The sequence below is a fragment of the Homo sapiens genome, chromosome 3, assembly GCF_000001405.40.
Source record: "Homo sapiens chromosome 3, GRCh38.p14 Primary Assembly".
Classification (NCBI taxonomy): domain Eukaryota; kingdom Metazoa; phylum Chordata; class Mammalia; order Primates; family Hominidae; genus Homo; species Homo sapiens.
The window spans coordinates 48,156,934-48,172,771 of record NC_000003.12 but is presented as its reverse complement, the minus strand read 5'-3'; the positions used below and the strand labels follow the sequence as shown (position 1 = coordinate 48,172,771).

At 46.4% G+C, this 15,838-nt stretch overlaps 1 protein-coding gene and 1 pseudogene across 7 annotated transcripts in view; one reads left to right on the top strand and one right to left on the bottom strand.

Annotated features, from left to right (window-relative positions):
• The window catches only part of CDC25A (cell division cycle 25A), a 31,272-nt gene extending 15,646 nt beyond the window's left edge, over positions 1-15,626 (top strand). For 6 of the 7 annotated variants that reach the window (XM_047449366.1, XM_047449364.1, XM_047449365.1 and 3 more), the window contains 6 exons: positions 4,828-4,926; positions 6,879-6,941; positions 7,038-7,136; positions 8,335-8,465; positions 13,317-13,428; positions 13,687-15,626. In XM_047449366.1, the coding sequence (XP_047305322.1) occupies positions 4,828-4,926; positions 6,879-6,941; positions 7,038-7,136; positions 8,335-8,465; positions 13,317-13,428; positions 13,687-13,827 (645 nt within the window). In that variant the 3' untranslated portion in view covers positions 13,828-15,626. Of the gene's footprint in view, positions 1-4,827; positions 4,927-6,878; positions 6,942-7,037; positions 7,137-8,334; positions 8,466-13,316; positions 13,429-13,686 lie in introns of those variants that run through there. The other variant, XM_047449367.1, reaches the window with a different exon arrangement.
• On the bottom strand, positions 11,358-11,595 carry SNRPFP4 (small nuclear ribonucleoprotein polypeptide F pseudogene 4; annotated as a pseudogene).
• Positions 15,627-15,838: the final 212 nt, after the last annotated feature.

Sequence of the window (15,838 nt, the reverse complement as noted above, 5' to 3'; positions counted from 1 at the left end):
CCACCTCAGGCTCTCAAGCAGCTGGGACTATAGGTGTGTGCCACCAAACCCAGCTAATTTTTGTATTTTTTGTAGAGACAGGCTTTCGCCATGTTGCGCAGGCTGGTCTCAAACTCCTGGGCTCAGGGCAATCCTCCCGCCTTGGCCTCCCAAAGTGCCAGGATCATAGGTGTTAGACACAGCACCTGGCATGGGTGAGCTAGTGTCATGGTTGTCTGGGCCTAAGTCCTATGGTCCTTTGTGTTATTTTTTCTATTTATTCTGTGGCTAGACACACAAAACACTGGTTTATTTGTATGTTTTTCCTTCATTATACTGTCCTTATATTGAGGTTTGGTATTAAGCATTATAAAATGGTGAACTACCTGTGTTTTCTGTGGCATGAAAAGGTTTAAGTAAATCTCATCACAGTCTTAAAAGGTTAGAGAGATGACAGCTAGGAAAACATTTAGCATTTAGGCCTACTGCCTTATCGTATCTGCTTTTGTTTTTAATGCTTTATGAATGTTTTTAAAGTATTGTTCTAAAAGAATATTTTAATAATTGCATAGTATTTTTGTTTTGGGAGAGTTGTTTGGTTTTGGTTTTTGTTCTTTTTGTTTGTGGGGGGCACAGGGTCTAGCGCTGTCACTCAGGCTGGAGTGCACTAGCACGATCACAGCTCAGTACAGCCTCCATGGGCTCAAGCACTCCTCCCGCCTCAGCCCCCCTAGCAGCTGGGACTACAGGCATGCACCACCATGCCCAGTTAATTTAAAAAAAATTTTTTTTTATTTTTTGTAGAAAAGAGGTCTTACTGTGTTGCCCAGGCTGGCCTTGAATTCCTGGGCTCAAGCAGTCCTCCCACCTCAGCCTCCAAAGTATCTGGGACTACAGGCACAGGCCAGTGCACCTGGCCGATAGTGTTTTGACTTACAAGTATACTAGAAATAATTGAATAAATCACCTTCTGGACATTTAGAATTTCCCTTCCCCTGATTTTCCTTTTATTTCTAATTAAAAATGAAATTCTGGGTTATAAGGGCAAGAACATTTGTGAAACTTTACATTGTATACATGTCAGAAAATATCTATCAATATTTAATAATATTCTGGCTGAGTGCTGTGGTTCACTCCTGTAATCCCAGCACTTTGGGAGGACAAGGCGGGTGGATCACGAGGTCAGGAGTTCCATACCAGCCTGGCCAATATGGTGAAACCCTGTCTCTACTGAAAATACAAAAAATAGCTGGGTGTGGTGGTATGAGCCTGTAATCCCAGCTGCTCAGGAGGCTGAGGCAGGAGAATCGCTTGAACCCGGGAAATGGAGGTTGCAGTGAGCAGAGATCACGCCACTGCACTCCAGCCTGGGTGATAGAGTGAGATTTCATCTCAAAAAAAAAAAAAAAAGAATATTCATTTTCTTTTTCTTTCTTTTTGAGACACGCTGGAGTGCAGTGGCAGGATCTTGGCTCACGGCAACCTCCGCCTCCCCAGTTCAAGCAAGTCTCTGCCTCAGCCTCCTGAGTAGCTGGGATTACAGGTGCCCACTGCCACGCCTGGCTAATTTTTTTTGTATTTTTAGTAGAGGCGGAGTTTCACCAAGTTGGCCAGGCTGGTCTTGAACTCCTGACCTCAGGTGATATATCCGCCTTGGCCTCCCAAAGTGCTGGGGTTACAGGTGTGAGCCACTGTGCCCGGCCAGAATATTCATTTTCTTTTACCGTAATAGAGATTGACCTTTTTATTTCCATATTTGTAAAACTTTTTTTGGATAAAATAATACTGTTAATAATTATTTTGTATATATATTGGCCCTCATGTTTTGGTTTATTTTCATATATTTTAATTTTTAGTATTTTAAATTCCATTGTGGAGAAAATGTCAAGCATTGCTAGAGTACAGTTATCATACCTGTGATATTGTGAAATATATATTTAGTCTTCTTCCCCTTCTGTCATATAACTCCTAAAATCTTTGGAATATCCAAGGTCATATCTTTTTGTATACTAATGATTGATAGCTTCAGGGTGGGACTGGTCACTGGAAAGACAGAGACATGATTAGAGGTTGGAACTTTCAGCCCCACCCTCCAATATCTACGGAAAGGAGAGGGGCTAAAGGTCAAGTTGATCACTCATGGCCAATGGTTTAATCAATCATTTCTATGTAATGAAGCCTCCCTAAAACCTTGAAAGGACAGGGTTCAGAGAGCTTCTGGATAGCTGAACACATGGAGGTTCCTGGAGGTTGGGGCACCCAAGGAGAGCATGGCAGCTCCATGTCCCTTCTCCCATACCTCACCCTATGCATGTCTTCTTCTATATCCTTTGAATATCCTTCATAATAAACTGGTAAATGTGTTTTCTTGAGTTCTGTGAGCCACTTCTAGCAAATTAAACCCAAAGAAGGGGTCATGGGAACCCCTACTTAAAGCTGGTGGTCGTAGATCAGAAGATCCAGAGGCCCAACTGGTGTCTGAAGGGTGGTGTGGTTTTGAGGACTGGGCCCTCAACTTCCTGATCTGACGCTCTGCAGGTAGATAGTGTCAGAATTGAATTGGACGGCACCCAGCTATTTTCCACTGCAGAACTGCTTGCTTGCTTGCTTGCTTGCTGGTAGGGAGAAATCCCCTCATATCTGGGGGTAACAGCACTTCTGTCTTCTGTTGCTGTTGAGTGAGGGAATAAGAAAAATCACTTTGAGTTTGTGGGGTGTTTTCCTCACACAAACATATCATACAGGGCTAAATTTCTGGGTGTTTTTTTGTTTGTTTTTTTTTTTGAGACCAAGTCTCGCTCTGTCGCCCAGACTGGAGTGCCATGGGTCGATCTCTGCTCACTGCAACCTCCGCCTCTCAGGTTCCAGCAATTCTCCCGCCTCAGCCTCCCAAGTAGCTGGGACTACAGGCGCCCACCACCACGCCTGGCTAATTTTTTATATTTTTAGTAGAGACGGGGTTTCACCATGTTGGCAAGGCTGGTCTCGAACCCCTGACATCAAGTGATCCACTCACCTCGGCCTCCCAAAGTGCTGGGATTACAGGCATGAGCCACCACGCCCGGCAGAGCTAAATTTCTTACTATCAAATGTCAAATATCCAGTCTGGGTTCAGTTTTCCCCAGTTGTCTCCTAAGTACTTTTACAGTTTATTTGTTAAAATCTGGATCCAAATAAAGTCTATACACTGTAGTTGGTCAATAGGTCTCTTACTCTTCAGATTTCAGTGCTCCATCTGTTTCCCTCTTGCATATTTTTATTTGTTGAAGAGCTCAAGTCATTTGTCCTGCAAAGGTTCCCACAGTCCTGTGGGGTCTTCAGACATTGTCTTCTATCCCCTATATTGCCTTAACCTAACTCTGGAAAGGATGGATTGAATTCCAGTTCTATTTGTTTGGCAAGAATATCACATAGGTGATTTTGTCTACTTTGATCAGGAAGTATAATGTGCCAGGCAGCCATTGGTGATTGCTGCCCAGATTTTTTACTTCATTTCACCAGGGTTTCAGAAAGATGATACTGCAGTTTTTACATTCTTTCCTCATTAATTAGCTAGAATATATCTATAAAGAGAAACTTACACTCATCAAACACTGTGGTTACCCTTGGGAAAGGCAGGATGAATATTGGATCTCTTTATTTGCCAGTTTCCAAATAATGCCCTACCAAGCATCTTCCAAAGTTGAAAGCAAGACTTATAGTTGTTTTTCAATAATAATCAGGAATTCATGGGTTAAAACATTTAATGTGTTTCTGTGTATTACAAGTATTATCCTTTTACTCAAATTATCCCCTTTTTAACAGCTGGCTTCCTCTTCTCATTGAATAAAGCTAAGACGTAGGCCGGGCGCGGTGGCTCACACCTGTAATCCCAGCACTTTGGGAGGCCAAGGCAGGCAGATCACCTGAGGCCAGGAGTTCAAGACCATCTGGCCAACATGGTGAAACCCCGTCTCTACTAAAAATACAAAAATTAGCTGGGCGTGGTGGCGCACACCTATAGTCTCAGCTGCTCTGGAGGCTGCGGCAGAATCGCTTGAACCTGGGAGGCAGAGGTTACAGTGAGCCAAGATCACTGTACTCCAGCCTGCACTCCACTCCTGTACTCCACTGCACTCCAGCCTGAGCGACAGAGCGAGACTCTGTCTTTTTAAAAAAAAAAAAAAAAAAAAGTTAAGACATACTTTTTCTAAACTTAATCCTAGTTTTAACCCCCCTTGTTTCTTTCTCTTTTTCTGGAGATAGTTTCAGTCTGTCACCCAGGCTGGAGTGCAGTGGCACCATCACCACTTGCTGTAGCCTCGACCTCCCCAGGCTCAGGTGATCCTCCCACTTCAGCCTCCCAAGTAGCTGGGACTACAGGCACACACCACCATGCCCAGCTTGTGTGTGTGTGTGTGTGTGTGTGTGTGTGTGTGTGTGTGTGTGTGTGGACAGGGTCTTGCTCTTTGATCTGGTCTGGAACTCCTGGGCTCAAGCGATTCACCTGCCTTGCCCAGGCTGGTCTGGAACTCCTGGGCTCAAGTGAGTAACCCACCTTGGCCTCCCAAAGTGCTGGGATTACAGGCATGAGCCAAACCACCTGCACCCCCTTTTTTTTTTTTTTTTTTTAAGGAAGGAAGGAAAACTTAGTTTCAGAGCAATTCGGTTAGACACTGGAATAATAGGAGACCTAGTCAATAACCCACATCTGTTTTTGTTCACTCCAGATTCAATAAAATAAAATAAAAACTTCTTACTAAATGTAGGCATTAACATTTTAGTCTCCTCGAGACATGCTCCAAGTGAATGTTTTCGGAAGTTCCATTCAGAACCCTTGTCTCATTCTCTACCTTTGATTTGTTACAGACTCTTCATCAGTCTTTATCCCTGGCATCTTCCCCCAAAGGAACCATTGAGAACATTTTGGACAATGACCCAAGGGACCTTATAGGAGACTTCTCCAAGGTAATTGCAAGCAGAGCTGCTCTGGCAAGTGTAGGAGGGAGTGTGGGTATTTAGAATCCCACTCAGCCTGTCTCCCTCCCCAGGGTGGTTCCTGGCATACCTCCAAAAGGACACAGTTAAAAGAATGTTAAAGGTAGGGAAGCAAACTTAGTTTCTCATGATCAGGTATATGTTGGTTTCTGAGACTGTAGATATCACTATAGCTGATGGGCAGTTTTAGGTAGGGAGCTGTCCACCAACCACCTTGATTGTAACCCAAAGACTAGGCTCTCTGGGAACTGTGTTATTATAAAAATAGTAATTAGCAGGATAGTGTACAGCAGAAATAAATCTGTAGCCACACTACAAGTCTGCATGTTGAAAGGTTATCTTAGAAGGTCTGGGATTGAGACTGAATTTCTCCGTTCAGAGAAGCTTGGCCATTGAGGGAAAAGACCCTCCAGGAAGTCTAGAGGAAGATCTTCTAATAGCCTGATATACTACATGAAGGCTTGGCTGCAGTAAAATACAAGGCTAGGACAGGGAATGTGTCAATAGCAGCTTCTTTAATCACATTTTGACTTGAAGGTTACCAGATCAATGTTTTATTCATTAATTTAGTTAACATTTATTGAAGCACTTATGTGTTAGGCAGAGATTCCAAAATGAGATACAGTTCCTTCCCTCAAAGAATTTAGCATGTGGTTGGAGAGGTGAGACGTGAACTACATGTACCACATGGTAGACTGAAATAAATTTTAGTGAGGTGTAAACATAAACAGCATGCCGTGAGAAGTAAAAGGGTTTATCTTGGCTAGGGGGTTGGGGAACGTCTGGGGTTGGGCCGTTGATATTTCAGCCCAAATGGGTTTTGAAGGAACGGAGAATGAAGAGAACAAGCAAAGATCCAGCTGTATCCTCAGTTTTGGAACCTTCTCTTGTTTGGCAGGGAGAGATGTGGTCTTACTATGTTGCTCAGGCTGTAGTGCAGTGGCTATTCGCACATGCTATCATAGTACACTGTAGCCTCAAACTTATGGCCTCAAGTGCTCCCCCTGCCTCAGCCTCCCAAGTAGCTGGGACTACAGGCATGCACCACCACACTCAGTGGAATTTTCAACTTGAATTGAGGCCTGGTTATATTTGTCTTAATGGGCCTATGCATGGGGATAGATGAACTCTTGGCTCAGCCAGTCACCCTAATGAGTAATTGCTAATGTGTGCATCTTCCTCCTCAAGGCTGGGCTAGGTCTCTTTTTTTCCTATCCCCAGTGCCTGGCACCATGCTGGACATAGCAGGTGCTCAGTAAATGAGTGAAATCTGTATGTTTAAGTGCTATTCGCAGTCTAACTACTGACGTGTGGATTCTTGACAAAAGCAGGAGGAAAATGAGATTACCTGAGGTTTCTTTATTTAAATCTGCCTTACTAGCTAGGTAACCTTGGATAAGGTGCTCAAAATGGGGATAATATACCTCATTGGTTTGTGTGAAAATTAAATGTCAGGATGTTAATGAAGTAACTAGAAGAGTAACTAGTGTGTACTAACTAATGTTTGTTTGCTTGTTTGTTTGTTTGTTTTTTGAGAGGGAGTCTTGCTCTGTCACCCAGGCTGGAGTGCAGTGGTGCAATCTCAGCTCACTGCAACCTCCGCCTCCTGGATTCAAGCGATTTTCCCACTCCAGCCTTCCGAGTAGCTGGGACTATAGGTGCATGCTAACGCCCGGCTAATTTTTGTATTTTTAAAAGAGTTGGGGTTTCACCATGTTGGCCAGGCTTGTCTCGAACTCCTGACCTCAGGTGATCCACTAGCCTCGGCCTCCCAAAGTGCTGGGATTACAGGTGTGAGCCACCGTGCCTGGCCATTAATGTTTGTTTTTTAAAAGATGCCTCCTACCAGCCAGACAAAACAGTATAAGTGTGAATAATATATAGGCTTTCAGATTCTCTAAGTATCTTTTTTTCTTTTTAAGGGTTATCTCTTTCATACAGTTGCTGGGAAACATCAGGATTTAAAATACATCTCTCCAGAAATTGTAAGTCCATCCTTTTGAAACCCACCACACATCGGGTACTTGAATCTAGTTTTCCCTGACGGTCAAAGTTGATTCTCCCTAATTTTCTCTCAACAGATGGCATCTGTTTTGAATGGCAAGTTTGCCAACCTCATTAAAGAGTTTGTTATCATCGACTGTCGATACCCATATGAATACGAGGGAGGCCACATCAAGGTATGGATTCCTGAGACTTGCTGTAGAAGGAGCCCTAAACAGGATCTGTGGTTTTAAAGTGGGGAGGACAGTGACACCTGGCCACTTAGCTCATATGCTAGTTGTTAGAATTTTGAAACAATACAGTGAGTGTGGAAGGCATTTGATTCCGGGTGCTCTTAACGAATGTTCCCTTGTCTGCAATACTCTCTACCACCTTGTGCACAGTTATTCTTCATGTTTGTCCCTCACACCATCATTATCAAGGACACTTGTAGGAGGTACCCACTGATGTTTAAGTCATTCGGGGGACAAGAATGGGTTTCATAGCATTTAAGAGGCTTGGGTACCAATGTCTGAGCACCCCAGGGCTCCTGATGAGGAGAAGACCATCTCTGGCAACATGTCCTGGTGTCTGTGCCAGGCCTAGTGATGCCTCCAAAGTTGATTGTTCAGCAAGCTGCCTGGTGGAGGGGCGTGTTGGGACACACGTTCCCAAGAAGAAAGGAACTGATTTTGCCATTTTAATCTTTTTTTTTTTTTTTTTTTGAGACAGAGTCCGCTCTGTCGCCAGGCTGGAGTGCAGTGGCATGATCTCGGATCACCACAACCTCTGCCTCCTGGGTTCAAGCAATTCTCCTGCCTCAGCCTTCCAAGTAGCTGGGACTACAGGTGCACGCTGCCACGCCCGGCTAATTTTTTTTTTTTTTTAGTAGAGACGGGGTTTCACCATGTTGCCCGGGCTGGTCTCAAACTCCTGAGCTCAGGCAAACCGCCCGCCTCAGCCTCCCAAAGTGCTAGGATTACAGGCATGAGCCACGGCGCCTGGCCTGCCATTTTAATGTTTTACCCGATTAATAGTGTTTAAATATAGTAAGGAGGTACTTTAAATACGATGTTACTGTTTGCCATTGTCTTGTGGCTTTTGAAAATCCCCAAATTTATAAAACTACCTATAAAGTGTACCATTGTCATATTTGAATTGCCCATTTCCAGTCCCCATGTGCATTACTGTATGATGAACGTGTACGGACCCACAAAGCTCCATTGAGATACAGGTGCCAAATGGTCTACTGGGCTATTCAGCTAGAAGAACTGCAAAAATCACAAACTGGTCTTGTGGACTTAAAGATCACTCTTGATGAATCATTACATCTTGCTGAATCATTACTTCATGTGTGAAACGTGCAGGTTCCAAGGGTCTCTGTTGTCTTCACAGGGTGCAGTGAACTTGCACATGGAAGAAGAGGTTGAAGACTTCTTATTGAAGAAGCCCATTGTACCTACTGATGGCAAGCGTGTCATTGTTGTGTTTCACTGCGAGTTTTCTTCTGAGAGAGGTCCCCGCATGTGAGTGCTGCACGGAACTGGGTTCTGGGGCACAGGCTCCATGATGCTTTTGTGGGACATGGTGGTTTGTGGCTTGCACTTGGAGCATATTTTAGCATATCAAGCAACCTCTGGCACATAACAAGCCATTTTCATATGTAATTTTATCCTGAGGTGAACTTTGGCTCTTCCAGTCTCCCCGACTGTCCTTAGTCTGATCTGTGGGGCTACTGTTCTCATGTGACCTCCTTCAAGTACAAAGTGACCGTTCCTTATGCAAATGCCAGAAAAGTGTGAAGTTCTCATTCTGTAAAACCTCATATGATATGATGCTTTGAAACACTTGATATTATTACCAATTTCAGGGTGAAAAGAAAAAAGGGGGCCAAAGAGCTGCCCATCAGTCATCTGTGTCCATTCTAAAAGGATTGCAAGCCTGCTGTTTGTCAGGCACTGACAATAAAAATGTAACTACAGTAAAACACAGTACAGTAAAAATACCACAGCGAGCAGGACCAACAAGGACCCTACTGCAGCAGAGATCCAAGTGGGGATCCGTATAAATGCTAGGAGGACAGGCAGAGAGGTAGGACAGAGAGTGCAGCTTAACTAGGATGGTCCAAGGGAGACTTCTGCAGGACCACGTTCTTATGCCACCTTTTTATTTTGAACCAATTTATTTTAAAAAACATTTTTAAATTAAAAAATTTCAATTTTTTTTTTTTGACGGAGTTTTGCTCTTGTTGCCCAGGCTGGAGTGCAGTGGCACAATCTCTTCTCACTGCAACCTCTGCCTCCCAGGTTCAAGCAGTTCTCCTGCCTCAGCCTCCCAAGTAGCTGGGATTACAGGCATGCGCCATCACGCCCGGCTAATTTTGTATTTTTAGTAGAGGCAGGGTTTCTACATGTTGGTCAGGCTGGTCTTGAACTCCCGACCTTAGGTGATCCGCCTGCCTCAGCCTCCCAAAGTAGTGGGATTACAGGCGTGAGCCACTGCACCTGGCTTTTTCTTTCTTTCTTTCTTTCTTTTTTTTTTTTTTTTTTGAGGCGGAGGCACACTGTTTTCACCCAGACTGGAATGCAGTGGCATGATCTCGGCTCACTGCAACCTCCACCTCCTGGGTTCAAGCGATTCTCCTGCCTCAGCCTCCTGAGTAGCTGGGATAACAGGCGTGCACCACCACACCCGGCTAATTTTTGTATTTGTAGTAGAGATGGGGGTTTCACCATGTTGGCCGGGCTGGTCTTGAACTCCTGACCTCAGGTGATCCACCCGCCTTGACCTCCCAAAGTGCTGGGATTACAGGTGTGAGCCACCACGCCCAGCAGAAATTTCAAATTTTGAGATGGGGTCTTAATATATTGGCCAGGTTGGTCTCAAACTCCTGGCCTCAAGCAATCCTCTCTCCTTGGCCTCCAAAGTGCTAGGATTGCAGGCATGAGCCACTGTGCCCACCCCTTTGAACCTTTTTTTTTTTTTGAGACGGAGTCTCGCTCTGTCACCCAGGCTGGAGTGCAGTGGCACAATCTCGACTTACTGCAAGCTCCGCCTCCTGGGTTCATGCCATTCTCCTGCCTCAGCCTCCCGAGTAGCTGGGACTACAGGTGCCCACCATCACGCCTGGCTAATTTTTTTGTATTTTTAGTAGAGACAGGGTTTCACCATTTTAGCCAGGATGGTCTCCATCTCCTGACCTTGCGATCTGCCCGTCTCGGCCTCCCAAAGTGCTTGGATTACAGGCGTGAGCCACTGCGCCTGACCTGAACCATTTTAAAGCTCAAGAAGAGGTGAGGTTATGGCTGGGCACAGTGGCACCTGTAATCCCAACACTTTGGGAGGCCGAGGCAGGAGGATCACTTGCTCGGGAGTTTCAGACCAGACCAACCTGGGTAACACAGTGGGACCACACCTCTACAAAAAATAGGAGGTGGGAGGATCGTTTGAGCCCAGCAGGTCGAGGCTGTGGTGAGCCATGATCATGCCACTGTACTCCAGCCTAGGTGACAGAGTGAGATTCTGTCTCTCTCTCACACACACACACACACACACACACACACACAAAGGTTATACTTGCACACACTTCACCTGATTTTATTAATTTTTAACATTTTGTCACATTTGTATGTACATGCTCTACACACAGGCAACTACAGTACAACTTGACACTTTTGACTGTCATCTCATAAGTCCTTCAAACATCTGTCTCCAAAGGATGCTCATTCATGAATGGAATTATTCACTCAGCAGTTTTTTTGTTTGTTTGTTTGAGATGTAGTCTTGCTCTGCCACCCAGACTGGAGTGCAGTGGTGCGATCTCGGATCACTGCAACCTCCACCTCCCGGGTTCAAGCAATTCTCCTGCCTCAGGCTCCCAAGTAGCTGGGACTACGGGTGCATGCCACCATGCCAAGCTAATGTTTGTATTTTTAGTAGAGACGGGGTTTTGCTACATTGGCCAGGCTGGTCTCGAACTCCTGACCTCAAGTGATCTACCCGCCTCAGCCTCCCAAAGTGCTGGGATTATAGGCCTGAAACAAACTAATCTGGACACACATACACACACATGTAAATTGTTTTTAAACCCACAAAAGATGCTGCTCTCTTTTTTTTTTATTTTTGAGTCAGGGTCAGTCTCTGTTGTCCAGGCTGGAGTACAGTGGCAGGAGCACAGCTCACTGTAGCCTCTGCCTCCCAGGCTCAAGTGATTCTCCCACCTCAGCCTCCCAGGAAGCTAGGACCACAAACATGCATCACCATGCCTGGCTAATTTTTGTATTTTTTATAGAGACAGGGTCTCACTGTGTTGCCCAGGCTGGTCTCAAACTCCTGGGCTCAGGCAATCCTGGCCTCCCAAAGTGCTTGGATTACAGGTGTGAGCCGCCATGCCCAGCCCAAAAGATGCTATTCTCTTAATCTCTCATTTCCCCATCTTCCTCTTTAACACCTCTAATATAAAGGACATTATTATACCATATTGAAACTTCACCTAGATATACAGAAAACGCCCCATCTCTGTATTCTGTATTTGCAAGCTGCATGTTTATATCACCATCTACAGATACCCCTTACACTTCGTTCCCCACTTGAGTTTCGCCATCACTGGCTTTCTGTTGTTCCACTGGGGAAAGATTTGGGATTCACAGGTGAACTCTTTTTTTTTTTTTTTTTTTTTTTTGAGTTGGAATCTCGCCCTTTCGCCCAGGCTGGAATGCAGTGGCACAATCTCGGCTCACTGCAGCCTCCTCCTCCCGGGTTCAAGCATTTCTCTGCCTCAGCCTCCCAAGTAGCTGGGATTACAGGCACCTGCCACCACGCCCAGCTAATTTTTTGTAGTTTTAGTAGACACAGGGTTTCACTATCTTGGCCAGGCTGGTCTCGAACTCCTGACCTCGTGATCCACCGCCTCAGCCTCCCAAAGTGCTGGAATTACAGGTGTGAGCCACCGCGCCCAGCCAAACTCCTTTTAACCACAGGCAAATGGTTTAAGCTACGTGCTGCAGAGGAAGCTGCTGCCCATCCCTCATGAGCAGCTAACAAAGGCCCCAAACCACTGAGCTTCAAGAGAAAATCAGCAGATACTCTTGGCTCTTGTGTACCAGATACCTTTCTAGATACTGAGGGAGAAGAGCAGTGAACAAAACAGACCAAAAAATCTCTGCCTTCATGGAACTTACATTTCGGAGTGGACAGGAGATCGAGACCAGCCTGGCCAACATGGTGAAATCCCGTCTCTACTAAAAATACAAAAATTAGCCAGGCGTGGTGGCGGACACCTGTAATCCCAGCTACTTTGGAGGCTGAGGCAGGAGCATCCCTTGAACCCAGGAGGCAGAGGTTGCAGTGAGCCGAGATCGCGCCAGTGCACTCCAGCCTGGGCGACAGAGTGAGACTCCATCTCAAAAAAAAAAAAAAAAAGGTGACTGGGTGCGGTGGCTAACTCCTGTAATCCCAACACTTTGGGAGGCCAAGGCAGGTGGATCACAAGGTCAAGAGGTCGAGACCATCCTGGCCAACATGGTGAAGCCCCATCTCTACTAAACATACAAAAATCAGCTGGGCGGTGGCACGCGCCTGTAGTCCCAGCTATTTGGGAGGCTGAGGCAGGAGAATTGCTTGAACCCGGGAGACGGAGATTGCAGTGAGCCTGAGGTCACGCCCTTGCACTCCAGCCTGGTGACAGAGTGAGATTCTGTCTCAGAAAAAAGAAGGTGCTTCAGAGGAAAATAAGGCCAGTGGTGGAGCTCCCAGGCAGGCTGGAGGAACAGTAGTGGGGCTGCAGGGGCTGGCGTGGGGTGAACAAGGGGCAGAGCAGCAGTAGGGGCCTGTAGAGCTGTAGGCCTCTGAAGGACTTGGGGCCTCGGGCTTTTTCACCAAGGGCGAGGCAGTAAGCAGCCATTGGCTGGATATTGAAGACCATTCAGTCCAAGTAGAGGATAGAAACAGGGCCCCGAGGCAGGAGCAAGTTCAGCCTCTTTAAAAGCCACAGAAAGAAACAAGCCCACTTATGTAGAAGGAGGTGAGTGAGGGAGCCTGGCTGAAGAGAAGGCTGGGGTGGAGAAAGCAAGGGGAAGCTGGCTCATATAGTGAAAACTTGCCACAAACTGTGGTGGTGAAGGTGCTGGGCAGGACTCAGATGCTAGGATTGTTGGAGAAAGGAAAATTGGGGAAGAGACCATCTACTGGCACTGGCTGTGAGTGCTGCTCATGTGGCCAGGAACTTGCAACTCAGCACTGATTGTTTCTAAGAATAAATGTCAAGTTGGGAAGATGTGTATAAGGGGGACTTAGACCACAACTGCTGCTTTGACTGCGTTGCCTTGTTGCTGTGCTGGAAAAGCTAACCCTGCTTTGGCCTTCCTTCCCCTGACTAGGTGCCGGTATGTGAGAGAGAGAGATCGCCTGGGTAATGAATACCCCAAACTCCACTACCCTGAGCTGTATGTCCTGAAGGGGGGATACAAGGAGTTCTTTATGAAATGCCAGGTAAGACTGGGGTTGTGGAGAGCATCTCTCCTCCCCTGCCCCCAGTGGTAGACTAATGGATCTGTCTGGTGGTCATGACTTTCTTTCCAGGGGTCGGGGGACAAGGTGGGTATCTGCTGAACCCAAAGAAAGCCCCTGTAGAACTGGCTCCCTAGGTCTGCCTGGCCGCTTTCAGCCTTGTAGCCCTAGGCAGAGAGGAAACCAGGTTGTGGGTGTGAGGCAGGTGTACCCTAACCTTATTCTCTCCTGTCCCCTCAGTCTTACTGTGAGCCCCCTAGCTACCGGCCCATGCACCACGAGGACTTTAAAGAAGACCTGAAGAAGTTCCGCACCAAGAGCCGGACCTGGGCAGGGGAGAAGAGCAAGAGGGAGATGTACAGTCGTCTGAAGAAGCTCTGAGGGCGGCAGGACCAGCCAGCAGCAGCCCAAGCTTCCCTCCATCCCCCTTTACCCTCTTTGCTGCAGAGAAACTTAAGCAAAGGGGACAGCTGTGTGACATTTGGAGAGGGGGCCTGGGACTTCCATGCCTTAAACCTACCTCCCACACTCCCAAGGTTGGAGCCCAGGGCATCTTGCTGGCTACGCCTCTTCTGTCCCTGTTAGACGTCCTCCGTCCATATCAGAACTGTGCCACAATGCAGTTCTGAGCACCGTGTCAAGCTGCTCTGAGCCACAGTGGGATGAACCAGCCGGGGCCTTATCGGGCTCCAGCCATCTCATGAGGGGAGAGGAGACGGAGGGGAGTAGAGAAGTTACACAGAAATGCTGCTGGCCAAATAGCAAAGACAACCTGGGAAGGAAAGGTCTTTGTGGGATAATCCATATGTTTAATTTATTCAACTTCATCAATCACTTTATTTTATTTTTTTTTCTAACTCCTGGAGACTTATTTTACTGCTTCATTAGGTTGAAATACTGCCATTCTAGGTAGGGTTTTATTATCCCAGGGACTACCTCGGCTTTTAATTTAAAAAAAAAAAAGAAGTGGGTAAGAAAATGCAAACCTGTTATAAGTTATCGGACAGAAAGCTAGGTGCTCTGTCACCCCCAGGAGGCGCTGTGGTACTGGGGCTGCTGCTATTTAAGCCAAGAACTGAGGTCCTGGTGAGAGCGTTGGACCCAGGCTTGGCTGCCTGACATAAGCTAAATCTCCCAGACCCACCACTGGCTACCGATATCTATTTGGTGGGAGGTGTGGCCCTGTTCTTCCTCACCCCAGTTCCATGACATTGGCTGGTATAGGAGCCACAGTCAGGAAAGCACTTGAGGCAGCATCTGTTGGGCCACCCCCGGCTCAGTGCTGGAATGTTGCAGTGTAGGTTTCCCAGGGAAGGGGGGTGGGGGTAGGTGGGCTCCACAGGATGGGGGAGGAGCATGTCCACTGAGTATCTTCCTTATGTTGCTGTGATATTGATAGCTTTTATTTTCTAATTTTTAAAAAATGGTCATATTATGAGTCAAAGAGTATCAAATCAGTGTTGGATGGACCACCCAAGGGTGAGGAGAGGGGCTGGAAGCCCTGGGCATTAGGAGAAGGGAGTGGGTGCTGGCATGGACATGACTGGATAGAATTTTCTCAGGAGGGAGCTTGGTGGATTTTGAAGGTAAAACTTTCTGGGTTTATCATGTTTTAATTTTAGAGACAGGGAGTGATGAATCATCACCGGTTGTCCCCTTATCTAACTCCATAAAAGTGGGAATTTCAAAAGAACACCTCATCCAAGGAGCTGGGGCAGACTTCATTGATTCTAGAGAGACCTGTTTCAGTGCCTACTCATCCCTGCCCTCTGGTGCCAGCCTCCTTACCATCACGGCTTCACTGAGGTGTAGGTGGGTTTTTCTTAAACAGGAGACAGTCTCTCCCCTCTTACCTCAACTTCTTGGGGTGGGAATCAGTGATACTGGAGATGGCTAGTTGCTGTGTTACGGGTTTGAGTTACATTTGGCTATAAAACAATCTTGTTGGGAAAAATGTGGGGGAGAGGACTTCTTCCTACACGCGCATTGAGACAGATTCCAACTGGTTAATGATATTGTTTGTAAGAAAGAGATTCTGTTGGTTGACTGCCTAAAGAGAAAGGTGGGATGGCCTTCAGATTATACCAGCTTAGCTAGCATTACTAACCAACTGTTGGAAGCTCTGAAAATAAAAGATCTTGAACCCATGCTCTCTGCCTAGTTCTTGATGGATTTAAGGAGAATTACATTTCCCTTTAAGGTCCTGGGACCACATTAACTAAAATTAGTGTTTGGGATGGCCACATTTCCTCAAGAAGCTCTGACTCCAAAAACTTGTGGTTCAGATTGATTTGCAAGATGAAATGGGTGCATAAAAAGTGTGCCTGAGGCCAGCCGCAGTGGCTCATGCTTGTAATCCCCGCATTTTGGGAGGCCGAGGCAGGCAGATCAC